Source organism: Homo sapiens, chromosome 9 (genome assembly GCF_000001405.40).
Source record: "Homo sapiens chromosome 9, GRCh38.p14 Primary Assembly".
NCBI lineage: Eukaryota > Metazoa > Chordata > Mammalia > Primates > Hominidae > Homo > Homo sapiens.
The window spans coordinates 77,328,352-77,347,291 of record NC_000009.12 but is presented as its reverse complement, the minus strand read 5'-3'; the positions used below and the strand labels follow the sequence as shown (position 1 = coordinate 77,347,291).

The 18,940-nt window shown below is 34.7% G+C and overlaps 1 protein-coding gene across 4 annotated transcripts in view; it reads right to left on the bottom strand.

Annotated features, from left to right (window-relative positions):
* VPS13A (vacuolar protein sorting 13 homolog A) overlaps positions 1-18,940 on the bottom strand; it is a 244,004-nt gene that overhangs the window by 74,246 nt on the left and 150,818 nt on the right. For all 4 annotated transcript variants that reach the window (NM_033305.3, NM_001018037.2, NM_015186.4 and 1 more), the window contains 7 exons: positions 15,179-15,282; positions 9,755-10,037; positions 7,381-7,776; positions 7,010-7,114; positions 6,742-6,888; positions 3,011-3,139; positions 2,150-2,283 (listed from right to left, as the gene is read on the bottom strand). In NM_033305.3, coding sequence (NP_150648.2) covers positions 2,150-2,283; positions 3,011-3,139; positions 6,742-6,888; positions 7,010-7,114; positions 7,381-7,776; positions 9,755-10,037; positions 15,179-15,282 — 1,298 coding nt within the window. The remainder of the gene's footprint in view (positions 1-2,149; positions 2,284-3,010; positions 3,140-6,741; positions 6,889-7,009; positions 7,115-7,380; positions 7,777-9,754; positions 10,038-15,178; positions 15,283-18,940) is intronic.

Below are 18,940 nucleotides of genomic sequence, written 5' to 3'. Positions count from 1 at the left end.
TGAAAATGACCATACTGCCATAAGCAATCTACAGATTCAATGCAATTCCCATAAAAATACCATCAACATTCTTCACAGAACTAGAAAAAAAATCCTGAAATTTATATGGAACCATAAAAGGAGCCCTCATAGCCAAAGCAATACTAAGCAAAAAGAACAAACCTGGGGGCATCACGTTATCCTACTTCAAAGTATACTACAATGCCTATAGTCACCAAAACAGCATGGTACTGGTATAAAAATAGGCATGCAGACCAATGGAACAGAATAGAGAAACCAGAAATAAAGCCAAATACTTACAGCCAATTATCTTCAACAAAACAAACAAAAACATGAAGTAGGGAAAGGACACCTTATTCTAGTGAAGGGACTAGATGTGAAGAGACCAGTCTGGCCAGGGCCTAAGATAGAGTTGACTTAATGGTTTACAGACAAGGCTGGTTCTTCACTCTTGTTCTTTTAGCTCTTTTGTTTCCAGATTCTTTTGTCCAGTCTTCTTTCTGGTACTTTGACTATCTCCTATTCAAATGGTACTGGGATCGTGGGCAAGCCACATGTAGAAGAATAAAATTGGATTCTCATCTCTCACCTTATACAAAAATCAACTCAAGATCGATCAAAGACTTAAATGTAGAACCTGAAACCATAAAAATTCTAGAAGATAATACTGGAAAAACTCTTCTAGACACTGGCTTTGGCAAAGAGTTCATGACCAAGAACCCAAAAGCAAATGCAACAAAATAAAAATAGATGGGACCTAATTAAACTAAAAAGCTACTGCACAGCAAAAGGAATAATCAGCAGAGTAAAGAGACAACGCACAGAATGGGAGAAAATATTTGCAAACTATGCATCCGACAAAGGACTAATATCCAGAATCTGTAAGGATCTCAAACAAATCAGCAAGAAAACAAAAACAAAAACACAATAATCCCATCAAAAGTGGGCTAAGGACATGAATAGACAATTCTCAAAAGAAGATATACAAGTGGCCAAGAAACATATAAAAAGAAGCTCAGCATCACTAATTATGAGGGAAATGCAAATTAAAACCACAATGAGATACCACCTTACTCCTGCAAAAATGATCATAATTTAAATTAAAAAAAAATAGATGTTAACATGGATGTGGTGAAAAGGGAACACTTTCACACTGCTGGTGGGAATGTAAACTAGTACAAACACTATGAAAAACAGTATGGAGATTCCTTAAAGAACTAAAAGCAGAACTATCATTTGATCCAGCAATCCCAGTACTGGGTATCTTCTCAAAGGAAGAGAAGTCATTATATTAAAAAGACACTTGCACACATGTTTAGAAACAACTTATTATTTTTATAATATGGATAATTAAAAAAAACAGGCATCCCTCTTTCTTAACATCTTAAATAGATGAGAGAATGCTACCCCAAACGAGTTTTAGGTACTTGCTAGTCCAGCCCTGTGGTCCCTACTCAATGTCTGTTTGATTTTAATCAATGATTAGAAGTTGTACAGTTAGCAGTGGAAGGAAAGTGGAAGTGCAATGATAAATATGTGCTTGTTGAAAAGTAACAGGTGAAAAGAAAGAAAGAAAGGAAACAAAATAAATTCAAGACAGCCTGGAACTACTAAGTAGAGGATCAGAAACTTGCATAACCTGTAGTGGCACTAAGAAGATATAACAGCAAATAAAATGAATAATGTTGAAGAGTAGTCCTAAACCATGAAGATTCAATTATAGCCTTTAAGGAAGCAGTCCTTTCCCCAAGACAGCTCAACAAGAGGGTACCTACTGTTTGAAAAAAAAATCTGAAATTTTACATATTTACACTATATTAAACACATGAAAAAATTCAAAAATAGACAAAATTCAGAGACTCCTAACAAACTCTGACAGACTCCTCATCAGAGTCAACAATGAACAAGCTTTTGCCACACTTGCTTCAGCTCTTCCATTTTTCTTTCTTTGAAGCATTTCAAAATAAATTGTAGACATCAAGTCAGTTTTACCCCTACATGCTTCAAGTACATTTTTTAATGGAACACTGTTTTACACAGCTACAATGCTATTATCAGTGTTTATACTCTTAAGAAATTATCAAAAAAAACTGTGCCTCATCATCTAGACTTACACCATCAAGAGTTACTGTATTTGTGATAATCTTACCTTTGATTGTATTGAACAAGTTCATTCTTTGTGTGATTTATTAAGAGGAATGTAGCTGCTCCATCATGATAATCTAAAAATGTAATAACTGTAGAATGCTCGGCCAAATTCACTTCTGCTATAATACCTCCAAGCTAGAAGAAAGAAAAAGAAAACATTTTAATGTAATCATTTTCCCAAGAATATTAACTAATAACATTTAAGAACAGACTATTCATAACTTGATAATTTAATTTTTGGGATGACTGAGAAAACAATTCAGAATTTTGTACTGCATTTCTGGAAATCTATAATCTCAATCACTGTATTACAGATAGGTGACATTCCAGATGTGGTATATTCTAGTATTCCAGGCATTCCAACTAACTTTTTTTTTTTTTTCTTGAGACGGAGTCTTGCTCTGTCGCCTAGGCTGGAGTGCAGTGGCGCGATCTCGGCTCACTGCAAGCTCCACCTCCCGGGTTCACACCATTCTCCTGCCTCAGCCTCCCGAGTAGCTGGGACTACAGGCACCCGCCACCACGCCCGGCTAATTTTTTCTATTTCTTTAGTAGAGACAGGGTTTCACCGTGTTAGCCAGGATGGTCTCAATCTCCTGACCTCCTGATCCGCCTGCCTCGGCCTCCCAAAGTGCTGGTGTTACAGGCGTGAGCCACCGCACCCGGCCCCAACTAACTTTTTATTTAACAATTAAATTATCTTAGATCTCTGTTTCCTTCTACAAAAAGAAATGTTTGTTCGTTTTTGGGGAAAGGGGAAAAATCAACAGAAGTAATTATTTGATACAAAAAATAAATACAATACTAGTCAGTATATTTTAGCTTTCCTAATGACACATGCAAAAAAGAAAAAAAAACTTACCTCGTTATCTAGACGCAATAGAATACAATTTTCCTGCTTGTTAAAATATATCCTTTTGGGAGGATCTTCACTCCTTTCGACTTGAATAAGAAGTTTACTAGAAGCATACTCAGGCCAAAAGGGGATACACTAAAATATACATTATATATGTTTATAAAAATAAACAGATTTCACCATAAATATATAAATCATCTTAATATTCCCATCAGAATAGACTTAAACTATAAAAAAACCTGTTTTAACACTGCTCTAGTTATTGGGTTGTTTAAACAGCTGTAAACTTTCAACTTGAAGATGGATTGTCACTTGTCAGCACTATGCATTCAAGAAGCAGTGGATAGCAAATTGAAGAGCTATGGTAAGTGAACTGCTGGCGAGAAAAGAGACTTTAATGTGGTCATGATCTTACAGAGAAGGGTTGAAAAATCAGCAAGAAACCTGAGCTGAGAACTGGGACACAGATGATCAGGCTTAAAACAAGTGTACATTCAGTTACTAAAAATCAAAATCAGGTATGAACATTATCTGGAAATTAGGCAGAAATCAAAGTACGCAAAACAAGTATTAAATCTAGCATCTGGTTGTCAAATAAGGGTAAAAAAGTAAAAGTAGTATTCAAAGTTCAGAGTAGGAAAGAAGCTCAGAATTGTACGAAATAACTTCAACGTGAGTGATCTGGAAACCAAACTAAAAGAATAGGAGATAGTCAAGGTACTACAGAGAAGACTGGACAAAAGAATCTGGAAACAGAGCTAAAAGAAAAAGAATGAAGAACCAGCCTTGTCTGTAAGCTATTAAGTCAACTCCATCTTAGGCCCTGACCAGACTGATCCCTTCATATATTTCAGTGAGACTGCTCATGTGTGATACCTGATCATCATCACATGACTTGAGGACAATGTAGCAGAACCTGGTTGTTAGAGCTAAGTGTCTTAGCTTGTTAAAGACAGTTTTATTCAACCATAAAATGGAATTAATGGAACTAGATATGAGACATGCTTAGGAATATAACCTGACTTTGCGCACAGCCAGGGCACTGCAGTCTTAAGGATTCAAGCAACCCTGTCCCAAAGCTTTTATCCATGTCTGCATTCCTAGCCCAGGCACTTCATTCGGAAGCTCTTTATGAGAGCTTTTTGGCAGAGGCCTTCCTTGAGAGCTCCTGCAGGACCTCTTTATCGGGGGAAAGGGAGCGCCTGAGCTGAGAACTGGAACACAGATGATCAGTTTAAAACAAGGGTATAGTCACTTCACAAAAAGTGAAGACACTTTTTGTCTACTCTCAGTGCTCAGCATATTTCCATTCCTAGCTCCTCCGCTTTGTCCTACTCCATCCCCCAGGTCCATAAAACTGCCGGACACTTTGTTCAAGGTTTCCTAGACGGTGAGACAATCCCCATGTTTGTGCTGATCCACCTAACCCTTGTCCAGTGCCATTCCAGCACAGGTGGTAATTGTGCTTTCTCTGATTTAGCCTCCTGCTTACACAGGTTGAGTATCCCCTATTCGAGATGCTTGGTACCAGAAGTGTTTCACATTCTGGACTTCTTTTGGATTTTGGAATATTTGCATATATATGATGAGATATCTTGGGGATGGTATCTAACTCTAAACATAAAATTCATTTATGTTTCACATACACCTTATACACATAGCCCAAAAGTAATTTTATACAATATTTAAATAATTTTGTGCATGAAACAAAACTTGTACATATTGGACCATCAGAAAGAGAATGTGTCACTATCTCAACCACCCATGTTGACAATCTGTGGTTGTGTGGCATCACCATCATTTCTGACTCTCAATTTGTGTTACCAATAAACAATCATTTTCTTACACTTATTCACACATAAGTACTTAACAGTAAAAAAAAAAAAATGACAGTTAAGAAAGTGAAAAACATAAAGTGTCAGGTGTAGAATTTTTCACTTGTGGCATCATGGTGGCACTTGAAAAGTTCTGGATTTTGGAATATTTCGAATTTTGGAGCATTTTTGATTTCGTATTTTCAGATTAAGGATGCTCAATCTGTACTATCACAGTAAGTGATTAAAGGTTTGACTGTTACTTTCATTGTGGTTTGTGTTAATCAGCTATTCCGACACCTGGCAGCTCAGCTCTCTCCTCCTCAGCTGAGCTCTCGACAATTGCTAACTTTCTCATTTCCTCGAAGGCACTGTTCAAATGTCACTCCAATGAGTCCCATCCTAACTACCTTACATAAAATTAGAGACCACCCCTGGCTCTTGAACTCTCAATGTCCCTTATCCTACATCAGACTTTCCCACATTAGACTTGTCACTTTGAAACATACTATATACTAATTGATTACGGTATTATTAATGTTTCCCCTTATACCCACTAAAACGTAAACTACATAAAGATGGGCTTTAACTACTGTGGCTTTAACTATTATATTGCAAGTCACATAAAAAATAAACAATATTTGTTGAAAGAATGAATATACTTGAAAAAAGGTGAAATTTCTGGGAATAAGAACTATAATTATTCAAATACTCAGTTGAAGACTTAAATAGTAGTTCAGACACAGCAAAAGCAAAAAAAAAAAAAAAAAAAAAAAAAAAAAGGAAAGATGTCCATGTAGAACTTACTCAGAATGAAGCAAAGAGAGTTGGAAAATATAAAAGAGCTATTAAGAGACATGGAGGATAGAGTATGAATGTCCAACATGTCTGATTTAACGGCTTAGATGGAAAAAAACGGAAGAATGGAGGAGAGGCAATATTTAAAGAAACAATAGTAGCAAATTTTACAGAAAGCATGAAATACATTAATCCACAGATCTAGGGGTAAAGCACCTCAAGAAGGGTAAATAAAAAGTAAACCACATATAGACATATAGCAGTGTGACTGCAGAACATCAAAGACAAAGAGAAGACTGAAGGCAGCCAGAGAGATTTTTCTTTCTTTTTTTTCTTTTTTGCAATTGCAAGATTTAATACAGTGAAAACAGAGCTCCCATAAATGGGAGGGGACCTAAAGGGGGTTGCCGTTGCCCCCTGGAACGCCTGGGTTTATATCCCGATCATTGTCCCTCCCGCCAGAGAGATTTTTCTAGAGACACTGATGGTATTTACCTTCAAAACCAGCTCTAAAAGAAATTCTAAAGAATATACTTCAAGAATAATCCCAACAAGGACGGTTTTGTATGCAAAAAGGAATAATGAATAGAAACAGCAAAAACTTCTCTAATCCTAACTTTTAGAATAAAAGTTCTTCAAAAATAAAATATTCCATCAACCTCTGTCAGTCATTCAGAAAACTCTTATTCAAAGATTTAATGATGGCACAAAATCAAAATTTCACTTCTAAGTTACTACTCTCCTCAAATAACTTGAAGAAGAGTCTGGCTTACCCTACTCTCTGAAAGCATTCCTAATAGCTTCCTAGAGAGAATAAGTAATTTCCTTCTCTTTGGTGCATTTACATCTTATCTAGTCTTTGGCTGCTTTATTTAACCAAAGTGGTTAGTAATTGTTAAACGTCTACCTCCCTTAACAAGCTGGGCATTCCTAGTTACCTAATTATTAAAAATTGAACCTTCCCATCTATCTAGAGCAGGGCACAAATATTCAATAAAGATTCATGAAACTAAAACAAAATTGGAGTAAGGGGAGAGTTAAAACATTACATGGTGACTTTAGGTATCTAACTTCAAGGAGAAAATAGAATCCAAAGAGGTATATTTTTGAAATTCATCTACCCACCTGCTCCAAATCAAGAGAGAGCCATTTATCATTTCCTTCTTCAGCCACTGATATATGGTATTTGCTTTTGTTTTTAATCATATAAAAAGGGGTAAATGTCACAATTCTAGTAATGTTAAAACTGCTCAGGTCTATAGTGACACCAACCTAAGAAAAAAAAATTAACAGCTCAAAAACTGTTATGTATAACATCTTTATAAAATTTAATTAAGTAGTTAATAGAAACATTTAAAATAAAAGTTTCTTGATAAGCATAGAATGAACTCACTTGATAGTCCATTTTCAGGCCTTTACATTTAACAGCTCCATGACTACCAACAGTATCAATTGAAAACTGATTGGACAACTCACTATCAGTTACCATAAGTTGAACCTAGGAAAAAAATATTCCAAATACATCACAATTTAGGTACCTTTAAAAATTCCTGCTTAAACTGATAAATTACTTTTTAGCATAAACAAAATATTATATTGTTAATGCACTAAACCTTTATAATATTAAATTCTAATCTTTTTGGCCTCAAATATTTAACAAGTTATTTCTATCCAAGTTTCATAATATTTATTACTCAGAACTTTAAAAACTAAAAAGTGACAAGTAGCTAAAGACAAGGGAAAAACAGAATAAACATCGCATACCTTATTGTTATTAAAAAAGTGATTTGGCTGAAAAGAAAAGAGAACTGGCTTTTTATAATTAGGTGGATGCTTTCGATGAATTCCGTCTGCTTTGTACTGTAACATGCGGCCAGTTTTATTGACCATCCAATAAGGACTATGAAATGCCACAACTGTCTGACCAGTATTGTAAGTCATATGGACAGCAATATCTAAATCAGTCTTTTCCATTTCTGTAACACAAGTAAAACTGACAAAACTAATGTCTTGCTGATTAGGCTTTATGTGATATTCACTTTTCCAATCGTGATTGAGATAGTCAAGTAATTTTAAATGTAGCCTGGCTTTACCCAACTGTGCAGTACAAATCTGGGCTGAATGTCCTTCACTTAGAGTAAAAACCGAATTTTCAATTCCCTGTAATAAAAAAAAAAAAAACAAAACAAAATTTAAAATGTTGCAGAATAATATGCCTCAAAATTCTATTTATGTATTCCAAATGCTGCAAAAAATGCTTTTGAAATACCTATCAGAACAAGTCAGAAGACTTACATTCAAGTTCTAACTTTGTCAACTGTGTAAACCTCTACACGGTATTTAATCTGAGATTTGAGCTACTGTATTTGTAAAATGGTCTAAATGACTTACTTCAAAGGACAAACTGTGAAGATTAAATAACATAATGGGAAACTCCCCTGGAAATTATAAACATAAAACACTATAATTGGTAAAACAACGACAAAAAGACAATCTTAACCACTCGTGATTTTTATTTTGAAAACTACAAAACAACGTAAAATGTGGGCAAAAACTGATGGTAATCCAAAATAAGTAATCCCTACTACCTCCACAATCCCTCATCACCCATTTCCAATCACTGTTTATATTATTACGTCATATGTATCTCTCCAAACTGCTCATTTCCCTCGACCCTCCCTTCTATTATCTTAGTTCATGTCACTATATGACGTCTCAGTTTAAGAGTCCCCTAACCGCTCTTGTCCCCTCTAGTCCCTTCCCCACACCATGGCTCAATTGTCTTTCTAAAAACTGATCACACCCTTTGGAAACTGGCAGACAGAATGTGATCACTAACAGCATCCAATTAAAAGTTCTATGAGAACAGAAATATAAATTGACAGTACATCTGAATATCTCACCAGTTTTTCCAGCATCTCTATCCTATTCTTTTCCTATTATTATAATATAGGAATCTCTTCATCTCATGATTTTAAATTAATTAAAGCAAAAGTAAGGAGTTCTTGATTCTTTACAAGTTAAATAATATTCCACAAAATAACAATGGTGGTGGTAGTGCTAGAGTGATAAATAAATGGCAACCCTGTGTCTGGGAGGCACTGTACCAAATCCTTTACATACACAATCTAATTTGATTTCCCCCATGTCTTAACCAAGCAAATTTTATTATTATTCTCATTTTACAGACCACAGCAAAAGATTTAGAAAAGCAATAAAGCCTGCTTAAGAACATACAGCTAGCAAATGACAGAGCTAGGATGCAATTTCAAATCTACCTGACAGCAAAGTACAAATTCTTAACCACTATGATAATTTGTTATTCAATATGGAAATACACATTTAAAACCATAAATATGTTAACTTTTTCCTCCAAAAGAGACATGTATCAGAAAAGTGTAAACGGCTGGGTGTACTGGCTCATGCCTGTAATTCCAGCACTTTGGGAGGCCGAAGCGGGAGGATCACTTGAGCCCAAGAGTTCAAGACAAGCCATAGTGAGTCCCTGTCCCTACAAAATTAAAAATTAAAAAATATTATCCAGGCATGGCATGCACCTGTAGTCCCAGCTACTCGGGGGGCTGAGGTGGAAGGATCACTTGAGCCTAGAAGTTTGAGACTACAGTGAGCTATGATCGCATCATTGCACTCCAGTCTGAGCAACAGAGAGAAACCTAGTCTCAAAAAAATTTTTTTAAAAAGCAAATGGTAATTCTAAAAGTAAAATAAACCTATAATAGATGACAATGAAGAACTACTTTCTTCCATTTGATAAGCACTGCAAATGAAATATTTACATAAAATCTTAAGATGTATGGATTCCTATAACAACAGGAAGAAACCACACAGAGTATGAAAGAAAAAAAGCAACTTCACAAAGTATACAATCTTTTAAGAAAATCAGCACTAAAAGAATACAACATAATGTAGCATGCTTTTTTGTCACTGAAGTCTAGTTCTTAAATGTTATTTCAATAATAATTCTCATACTTGTTGCAAAAGAATATCTGCATTACCTATTCTTTACTAGTATTCTAATTTTTATTAGATCTTTAAAATAGTTTTTATTGATCTTAATCTTAAAAAACTGAAACTACAAAATCAAAAACAGGAAGGCACTAAATCAGTTTGCCGATACCTCTATATAATAAGCAATTTTGTAAGGAAGAAGATTTCGGAGCAGGATAGGTGGCCACAAATGCATTATGTATGGTAAATCCCAACCATCTTCTGAATACACTGATAGAGATGTTAAATTATCTTTTTCTGGAACAATATTAATGAGAAATGATTCCTTAGAAGGGTTTTTAGATCTACATTTCTTCTTTAGAAGAGCACCATCATTTTTTATAATCTCTTCAAAGTCAATTCCTTCACACATTTGATAGTTCTCATCTTCTGGCTTCAGAAAAATGAATGATCTGCATGAGATTAAATGATACAGTTTAAAATGTTTTAAAGGAAAACATATTAAACTATATAATTACAGCTTTAGAATAACAAACTTACCTCCTTTCATAATATTGTAGTACATTTTTATATTTTCATATACTTTTTACGATATAAGTAAGATAGATAAGGCCAGGCGCGGTGGCTCATGCCTGTAATCCCAGCACTTTGGGAGGCCGAGACGGGCGTATCACGAGGTCAGGAGATTGAGACCATCCTGGCTAAGACGGTGAAACCCCGTCTCTACTAAAAATACAAAAAAATTAGCCGGGCATGGTGATGGGCGCCTGTAGTCCCAGCTACTCAGGAGGCTGAGGCAGGAGAATGGAGAGAACCCGGGAGGCAGAGCTTACAGTGAGCCGAGATTGCGCCACTGCACTCCAGCCTGGGCGACAGAGCCTCAAAAAAAAAAAAAAAAAAAAAAGATAGATAAATAGATATCATCTTAACTTTCTGGAAGCTCATCAAGTTGTTTGACTTTTAAGAGGAGAATATTTTTCTTACAAACTTACTATCTTAAAAGTACACTTATAAATGGTTTCATATAAAAATACATGAATCGTATCAGTTATATATGCAAAGAAAACCACATAGAATCATCTGTGACTTGCATATATAACTGAAAGAATTTGGCTTTTCTGGATACATGGGCCTAAAAGGAAATAAATGCCATGACTGAATTCATAAACTAAAAAAAATTACTATTGAAAAAATAATCGCAAGCTTTCCAACATTAATCAAATGAAAGTTTTCAATCAATATTTAATGTTATTAAAACGTAGTCAATAGATGCGGAACAGTGCTGTTTTTTTTTAAACATCAGTATGATATTTTACTTTATTATTTTTTTTTCTGCTTTAGTGTTTTTGTTTTAATTATACTTTAGGTTCTGGGATACATATGCAGAAAGTGCAGGTTTGTTACAGAGGTATACACATGCCATAGTGGTTTGCTGCAGCCATCAATCGATCATCTACATTAGGTATTTCTCCTAATGCTCTCCCTCCCCTAGCGCCTCACCCCACAACAGGCCCCAGGGAGTGATGTTCCCCTCCCTGTGTCCATGTGTTCTCCTTGTTCAACTCCCACTTATGAGTGAGAACATGCGGTGTTTGGTTTTTTGTTCCTGTGCTAGTTTGCTGAGAATGGTTTCCAGCTTCACCCATGTCCCTGCAAAGGACATGAACTCATTCTTTTCTATGGCTGCGTAGTATTTCATGCTGTATACGTGCCACATTTCCTTTATCCAGTCTATCATTGATGGGCATTTGGGTTGGTTCCAAGTCTTTGCTATTGTGAACAGTGCTGCAATAAACATATGTGTGTATCTGTCTTTATAGTACAATGATTTATTATAGTTCTTTGGGTATATACCCAGTAATGGGATTGCTGGGTCAAATGGTATTTCTGGTTCTAGATCCTTGAGGAATCACCACATTGTCTTCCACAATGCTTGAACTAATTTACACTACCACCAAAAGTGTAAAAGCATTCCTATTTCTCCACATCCTCTCCAACATCTGTTGTGTCCTGACTTTTTAACGATTGCCATTCTAACTGGCGTGAGATGGTATCTTGTTGTTGTTTTGATTTGCATTTCTCTAATGACCAGTAATGATGAGCTTTTTTTCATACATTTGTTGGCCACATAAATGTCTTCTTTTGAGAAGTGTCTATTCATATCCTTCACCTACTTTTTGATGGGTTGTTTTTTTCTTGTAAATTTTTTTCAGTTCTTTGTAGATTCTGGATATTAGTCCTTTGTCAGATGGATAGACTGCAAAAATTTCTCCCCATTCTGCAGGTTACCTGTTCCCTCTGATGATAGTTTCTTTTGCTGTGCAGAAGCTCTTTAGTTTAATTAGATCCCATTTGTCAATTTTGGATTTTTTTGCCATTGCAGAAGAGTAGTTTTAAGAAAATGGTGACAAAATTATTGGTTGTCACATGGTTAATCTTTATATTTGAATATTACATTGTTTACATTTCAGCAATATTTTATACTTAATTTTTGAACCCACACTGTAGCCAAGAATAAACATTTCATAAATATTTTTATATTTGTAAAACTAATTAGCTATAGTTATGAGACAACACTGTCCTTTATAGATGAACAATGGTCAAAACTATCTTCAACCCTGATTATTTTCCTAAGCTCTACTCCTAAAATGTCAAATATCTATGATGTATTTCTGTAGTAATTTCTGATGGCACCTTAAATTTGCTAGACTGAACACTGAACCCACTCTACCCACTTTTCTGCATGTCCTTTTTCAGTGACTTCCAGCTACTGGCACCCTGGACTGTGAAACAATTAGACTTCCTTCTTACCTGACTGAAGCATATAAATTATTTGTCAAAACAGTTAACAGATATAGCCTATTCTACTTCTACATTCCTTCTATAATTTTCATTCTATTTTCCACTCTTACTTCTAATACTTAAAGACAAAACCTTAATTTTTTCCAAATTAAACTAATCGTAATACACTTATCCAGTTTATCAAAACATTTATTGGACCTATTATGTACCAACAAGAAGGCAAAATTGAAAACAAACAAATGAGTAAGATCATAATCAGGTGGGAAATGTTAAAATGTTAAAAGATAACTACTGCATTGTGATAGGTACCAAAAAACATATGTTTAGAGTAGACTGAGGGCAGAGTGGTTGGCTCTTTCTAGACAGACTGCAAGGTATTTGCCAAGTGACAATTTTCCCAAAAAGGGTGTTCTGAAGAGAAAATCTGAGTAAGAGAAATATAAAACGTCAAAGGAAAGTTCAAGGAATGAATAAGGAAAACAGGAAAGAAAGATAATCAATGACAGGAGGTTTTAAATGAGAAGATATGGTAGTGTGAATGGTCTTGAAACAGAACATCAAATTATCTGAGACAAGAAGAAAAAAACAGATCAAACTAATAGATGGAGATAAAATTTATAAAAATGGAGCAAGAAAATGAGGGAGCAACCATCTAACTGTGAACTTATCTTTCAAATTTTATCTTCCAACATGCACTCTACATTCCAACAAATTCCCAACTATTCCTTTTAACACTATGCTTTCATGCTTCCTTATCTTTGTTCATGCATGCCTTCCTCTTAGATAGCCTTTTCCTTCTAATCTCCATATTACTATATTACAGATGTTACCGTACTTCATGTATCTTGCCCAGGAGTCAGTCATTAATCCCTTTTATGTTTTCCACAGTTTTTGGCAACTCTAACACTTTCTATAACTCTCTATAACCCACTGTTTCCTACTTTATACATTTATGTAATATATCCATCTTTTGATGGCAATAGCCACATGCAATTCATCTTGGTATTGAGTGTCTCACCCACAGAAAACCTTGATAAATATTTGTTAAATGAATAAAAGAATCAGTATATTTAAATTCTACTTAAATATTTTAATAAAATATAAATTGTTTTCCTGTGTTTATCTGCATCTATATTTATCTGTATCATTAATCTAAGAATAGAAATAGAATAGAGAAAGATAGCCATTTGTTAATTTAAAACCTCACATCTTAAATATAAGTGCACCTATACTGAAGTACTAGATTAAAAGAATACCTAGATTATGAGTTCGAGACCAGCCTGACCAAAATGGACAAACCCTGTCTCTGCTAAAAATACAAAATTAGCTGCGCATGGTGGCACATGCCTGTAATCCCAGCTACTTAGGAGGCTGAGGCAGGAGACTCGCTTGAACCTGGGAGCTGAGATCCCGCCATTGCACTCCAGCCTGGGCAACAAGAGCGAAACTCCATCTCAAAAAAAAAAAAAAAAAAAAAATGCCTAATGAGAAATCCAAGCTGGTTAGTCACTAATAATTCTACTTAAGATGAAGTACTTAGTCAGTAACAATTCTCATTAAGATGAATTAATCACTACTAATTCTCATTAAGATGGATTAACTATCATGTAACAAATTAATATTCAGCCTTGGAAAAAGTATAAAGGTACTGTTTTCTCTACTATGGACAGAGATACAAAATATATAGCAGAAATGTATTAAAAAGTAGAATATCATTAACTTTTATTATCCAAGAAGAAAATGAAAGTTCTTCACAGAAATTTTTAAATATATCTTACATGCCATATTTAATCTAGTCTTGTAACCCACCCCAAATCCTCTCTAGAGCAAGGTCAGATACTGTAAATGACTATTTTGTTGTTCTCTCAACAATACAATTCTTTCCCTCAGCAAGTCTGAACTAAGCAATAAAACACTCTTTAGGTTTAGCAGGTCGATCTATGTGAAAATAGGTGCCTAAAACTGCTAGATTGTCTTCGGAGCATTGAGGATCCCATTCTGAACTTCTGGACAAGAGAACAGGTAAGCACTGTTTGCAGTTTTGCCTCTGTCCTTCTGTAGCATTGAGGTAAGTACCTATTTCTAGTGTGTATTCTAAAATGGTATTTAAACAAACTACAATGCTTAATTCTGAGAACAGTTTTATTCTCCAATAAGGTTCAATTTCCACATAAGAGATTATTTTCAATTCCAGATTACATATCTTGACTAATACTTACTTGTTATGATATAAAATCTATAAGACTAGCTCATATTTTGTTATAATTTTAATATTTTCTTAAAACATATTGTATCAAATTTAATTACTTTAAAAATTTAAAATTAATATAGTATATACTTCTATTTATATTACAACTCCAACCCTGAACAATGAACAAATATGAAAAGAAAAGGATAAAATATTGTTTACTAAAGGAATTTCAAAAAAATTGTATTATAAAACCTTTGAGAAGTACAAATTACTTCATAATAGTATATATAAATTCAGAAACCACCAGGCATGATCTATTAGACATTTTTAAAACTCATAATCATATGACTATGCTTATGACGGTTATATTGCAATCAAAATATAATTATATTTAAGAGAAAAGCATATATAGTGTGCTTGGTATAAGTTATTACAATAAATTAAATAATACTTCTTTTTTAAGATCTAAGTGCACTGAAACCTAAATACGTTAGATAAGCTATTAGCAGGATGGATTTGATCAAAGTTATCCATGTGAAATCAGAAACTAAAAATTCTACAAGAGATTTTAGAGTAAATAAAATGATAAAGACAAAATACCGGTAAGATCCTAATGGTATGTTGAATTCATTTTCAGGTGAGGCAGTTCCCAATAAGGTATCCCCTTCGTAAACAGACAGTGGGACTGAAAAATGATTTCTTATCTGGGAAAGAAAAACAAATAATATTTAGTATCATTAATCTAAGAATCTAAAGATGTGTAAAAAAAATATGTCCATGTAACTATCTTAACAAAGGAACTATCAGGCAATATTCATCTTGCTTATATAAATTAGAAAAGAAACAAACATATTATTTATCCTAAAACATACAAGAAAAATCTCTATAGTTTTATATAATAGGAATCTCAAAAACAGACTTTAAGCATCCTACAGGGGAATAAGATAATATCTTTTTGATTTTAGGATAGGGACTAATTTGTTTAAAGATAAGTTTTTGTTTAGATAAAAATAGTAGAAAAAAATTCACAGAAAAAAATCAAAATTTTAAATATTTATATGATAAAAGTGACAATCTACAGGCTGGGAAATATCTGTAATATACTTGACAAAGGGTTTATAACCACCACACTCAAAAAGCCTAAAAATCATTAAAAAAGTTGCAATCAAGAGGAAAACAGGAACAGAATGTAAACATGATTCACAGAATGGAAAAACTGACCAATAAACAGATGAAAAGATACTTGACATTCCTAGTAATCAAGAAAATACAAATTATATTCATGGAGTATCTTTTAATACCAACAAACTGCAAAAAAAATCAGAAGTATGGTGATATCAACAGTTGAAAATGATGTGAACAGGAACTCACATACACTACTGGTAGAATGTAAATTGATAAAATAACTTTGAAGAATAATTCAGCAAAAACTTAGTAAAAATGAAAATGTACTTTCTTCTTAGGAATTCTGCTCCTAGTTCCATACCTAGAGAAATGTTTACACATGTGTATTCATTCAGGTTCACTACATTCATTCAAGACACTGATGTTCACCACACCACTTTCATTATAAAAAAAAATGAAAATGAAAACAATCTCAATAATAGAAAAATAAGAAAATTTTCTTCAAATCCATATAATCATGTAACATCATTAAAATAATGACCTATATATCAGTATATGGTTACACTTCGAATATCTGAATGAAAACAGAACATAGCAAAACAAGGTGAACAGTGTAACATTTCTGTAAGACACTAAAAACACAAGTATATATTTTCTGGACAGGAATAATAGTTTTTAAAATATGGTACTGGAAATATACACAACGTATCACCAAATTGATATTACCTCAAGGAAGAAGGAAGGAGGGAATGTGGACTAAGAGGGAAACAAAACAGCTGACTTCAACTTCATGTATTTTTTTTTTTAATTTGAGGGAAACATTTTTAAATGTCTATATTTTTTAAATTCCATGGTGTGGATGGAGACATCTGTATTACAATAAACTTCAAAGTCCACTATCAAACCAATAACCAACATCCAGAGCATTCCACAACAGACATTAACTGCAAGTTTTCCAACATATTTTCTGATTATAAATATAATTCCAAATAAACTTCACATTCAACTTATCACTGATGTAAATGGAGCCTATTAAGAAACACATGCTTCTAAATGGTGCCTGTTTGGAATGTGAAGTTAGTTACCAAAGTCTGATATTGCTTCCTTTGTTTTCCCTTTCAAATTTAGTGCGGAAAAAGTTGGTTGGAAGCTGAGAATAACTAGTAGTTGAAATTTCAAGGAAAGATCAAAAGTCTGGAAAACGGAATGAGCATAAGCTTGAAAAGTCTAAGGGAGCAGAGGAAAAGGAAGCATCCGTCTGTATAAAAGTGGGTGGGCGCAGTGGCTCACACCTATTATAATTCCAGCACTTTGGGAGGCTGATGCAGGAGGATCACTTGACCTCAGGAGTTCAAGAGCAGCCTAGGCAATATAGTGAGACCCTGTCTCTACAAAATATTAAAAGATTAGCCAGGTATGGTGGTGCAGACATGTAGTCCGAGCTACTGCAGAGGCTGAGGTGAGAGGATTATTGAGCCTGGGAGGTCAAGGTTGCAGTGAGCACTGATCATGCCACTGCACTCCTGGGCGATAGAGCAAGACCCTGTGTCTCAAAAACTACAAAGGTAAGAAAGAAACAGAAGCGTGTTGCAGGTAAGCTGGTAAGCTATCCTGCTGGAACAATTCCTAAAGTTTATGACTACACAACAGCAATATGATAGCAGGATGAACATAGATGTTAAACTGAAAAAAACCTGAGATAAATACTGGCAGTGCTGATTACTAGCTGTGTAACTGTGGGCAAATTTTATTTTGAATAATACCATTTCTCCTGACTATCAAAAGTAGTAAATTCATATATACACATACCTTGTTTTATAATGTTTTGCTTTATTGTGAATTGCAGATATTTCATTTTTTACAAATTAAAGGTTTGTGGCAACCCTGCATCAAGCAAGTCTATTGGTGCCATTTTTCTAACAGCATGTGCTCACTAAGTGCCTCACTGTCATATTTTGGTAACTCTCACAATATTTCAATCTTTTCATTTTAACTATATGTGTTATAATCAATAAATGTGTGTGTTCTCACTGCTCCACAAATTGGACATTCTCCCCACTTTCTCCCTCTTCTTCGGACCTCCCTATTCTCTGAAACACAACAATACTGAAATTAGGACAATTAATAACCCTCCAATGGCCTCTTTCAAATAAAAAGAAGAGGCACATGTCTGTCACTTTTAAATCAAAAGCAAAAGCTAGAAATGATTAATGTTAAGAAGTGCATGTCAAAACCAGAGATAGGCTAAAAGGTAGGCCTCTTGCATCAAACAGCCAAGTTGTGAATGCAAAGGAAAAGTTTTTGAATAAAATTAAAAGTCCTAACCCAGTGAACACACAAATGATAAGAAAGTGAAACAGCCTTATTGCTGACAGGAAGAATACTCTAGTGGTCTGGATATGATACAGTTTGGCTAGGTCCCCCACCCAAATCTCATCTTGAATTGTAATCCCCACAATCCCCATGTGTCAAGGGAGAAACCAGGTGGAGGTAACTGGATCATGGGGACAGTTTCCTGCATGCTGTTCTCGTGATGGTGAATGAGTTCTCACGAGATCTGATGGTCTTGTAAGTGTGTGGTAGTTCTTCCTGCATTCACTTCTCCTTCCTGCTGCCTTGTGAAGAAAGTGCCTTGCTTCCCATTTGCCTTCTGCCATGATTGTAAGTTTCCTGAGGTCTCTCCAGCCATGCTGCACTATGAGTTAATTAAACCTCTTTCCTTTATAAATTACTAAGTCCTGGGCAGTTCTTTACAGCAGTATGAAAACGGCCTAATACAGGATAGAAGATCAAACCAGCTATAACATTCTCCTAAGATAGGCCCTAACTCTCTTCAATTGTATGAAGGCTGAGAGACATGAGCAAGTTGCAGAAAAAAAGTTGGAAGCAGACGTTTGTTCACGAGGTTTAAGGGAAGAAACCACCTGCATAACACACAAGTGCAAGATGAAGTGGCAAGTGGCTGCAGCAAGTTATCCAGAAGGTCTAGCTAAGATCATTGATGAAGATGGCTACACTAAACAACAGATTTCCAAACTAGACAAAACAGCCTTCTGTTGCAAGAAGATGACATTTAGGACTCTCATAGCTAGAGAAGGGAAGTCAATGCTTAGCTTCAAAGCTTCGAAGGACAGTCTGAATCTCTTCTTAAAGGGATAATGAAGCTAGTGACCTGAAGTTAGCCAATGTTCTTTTACCATTATGAAAATCCCAGGGCCTTTAAGAATATGCTAACTC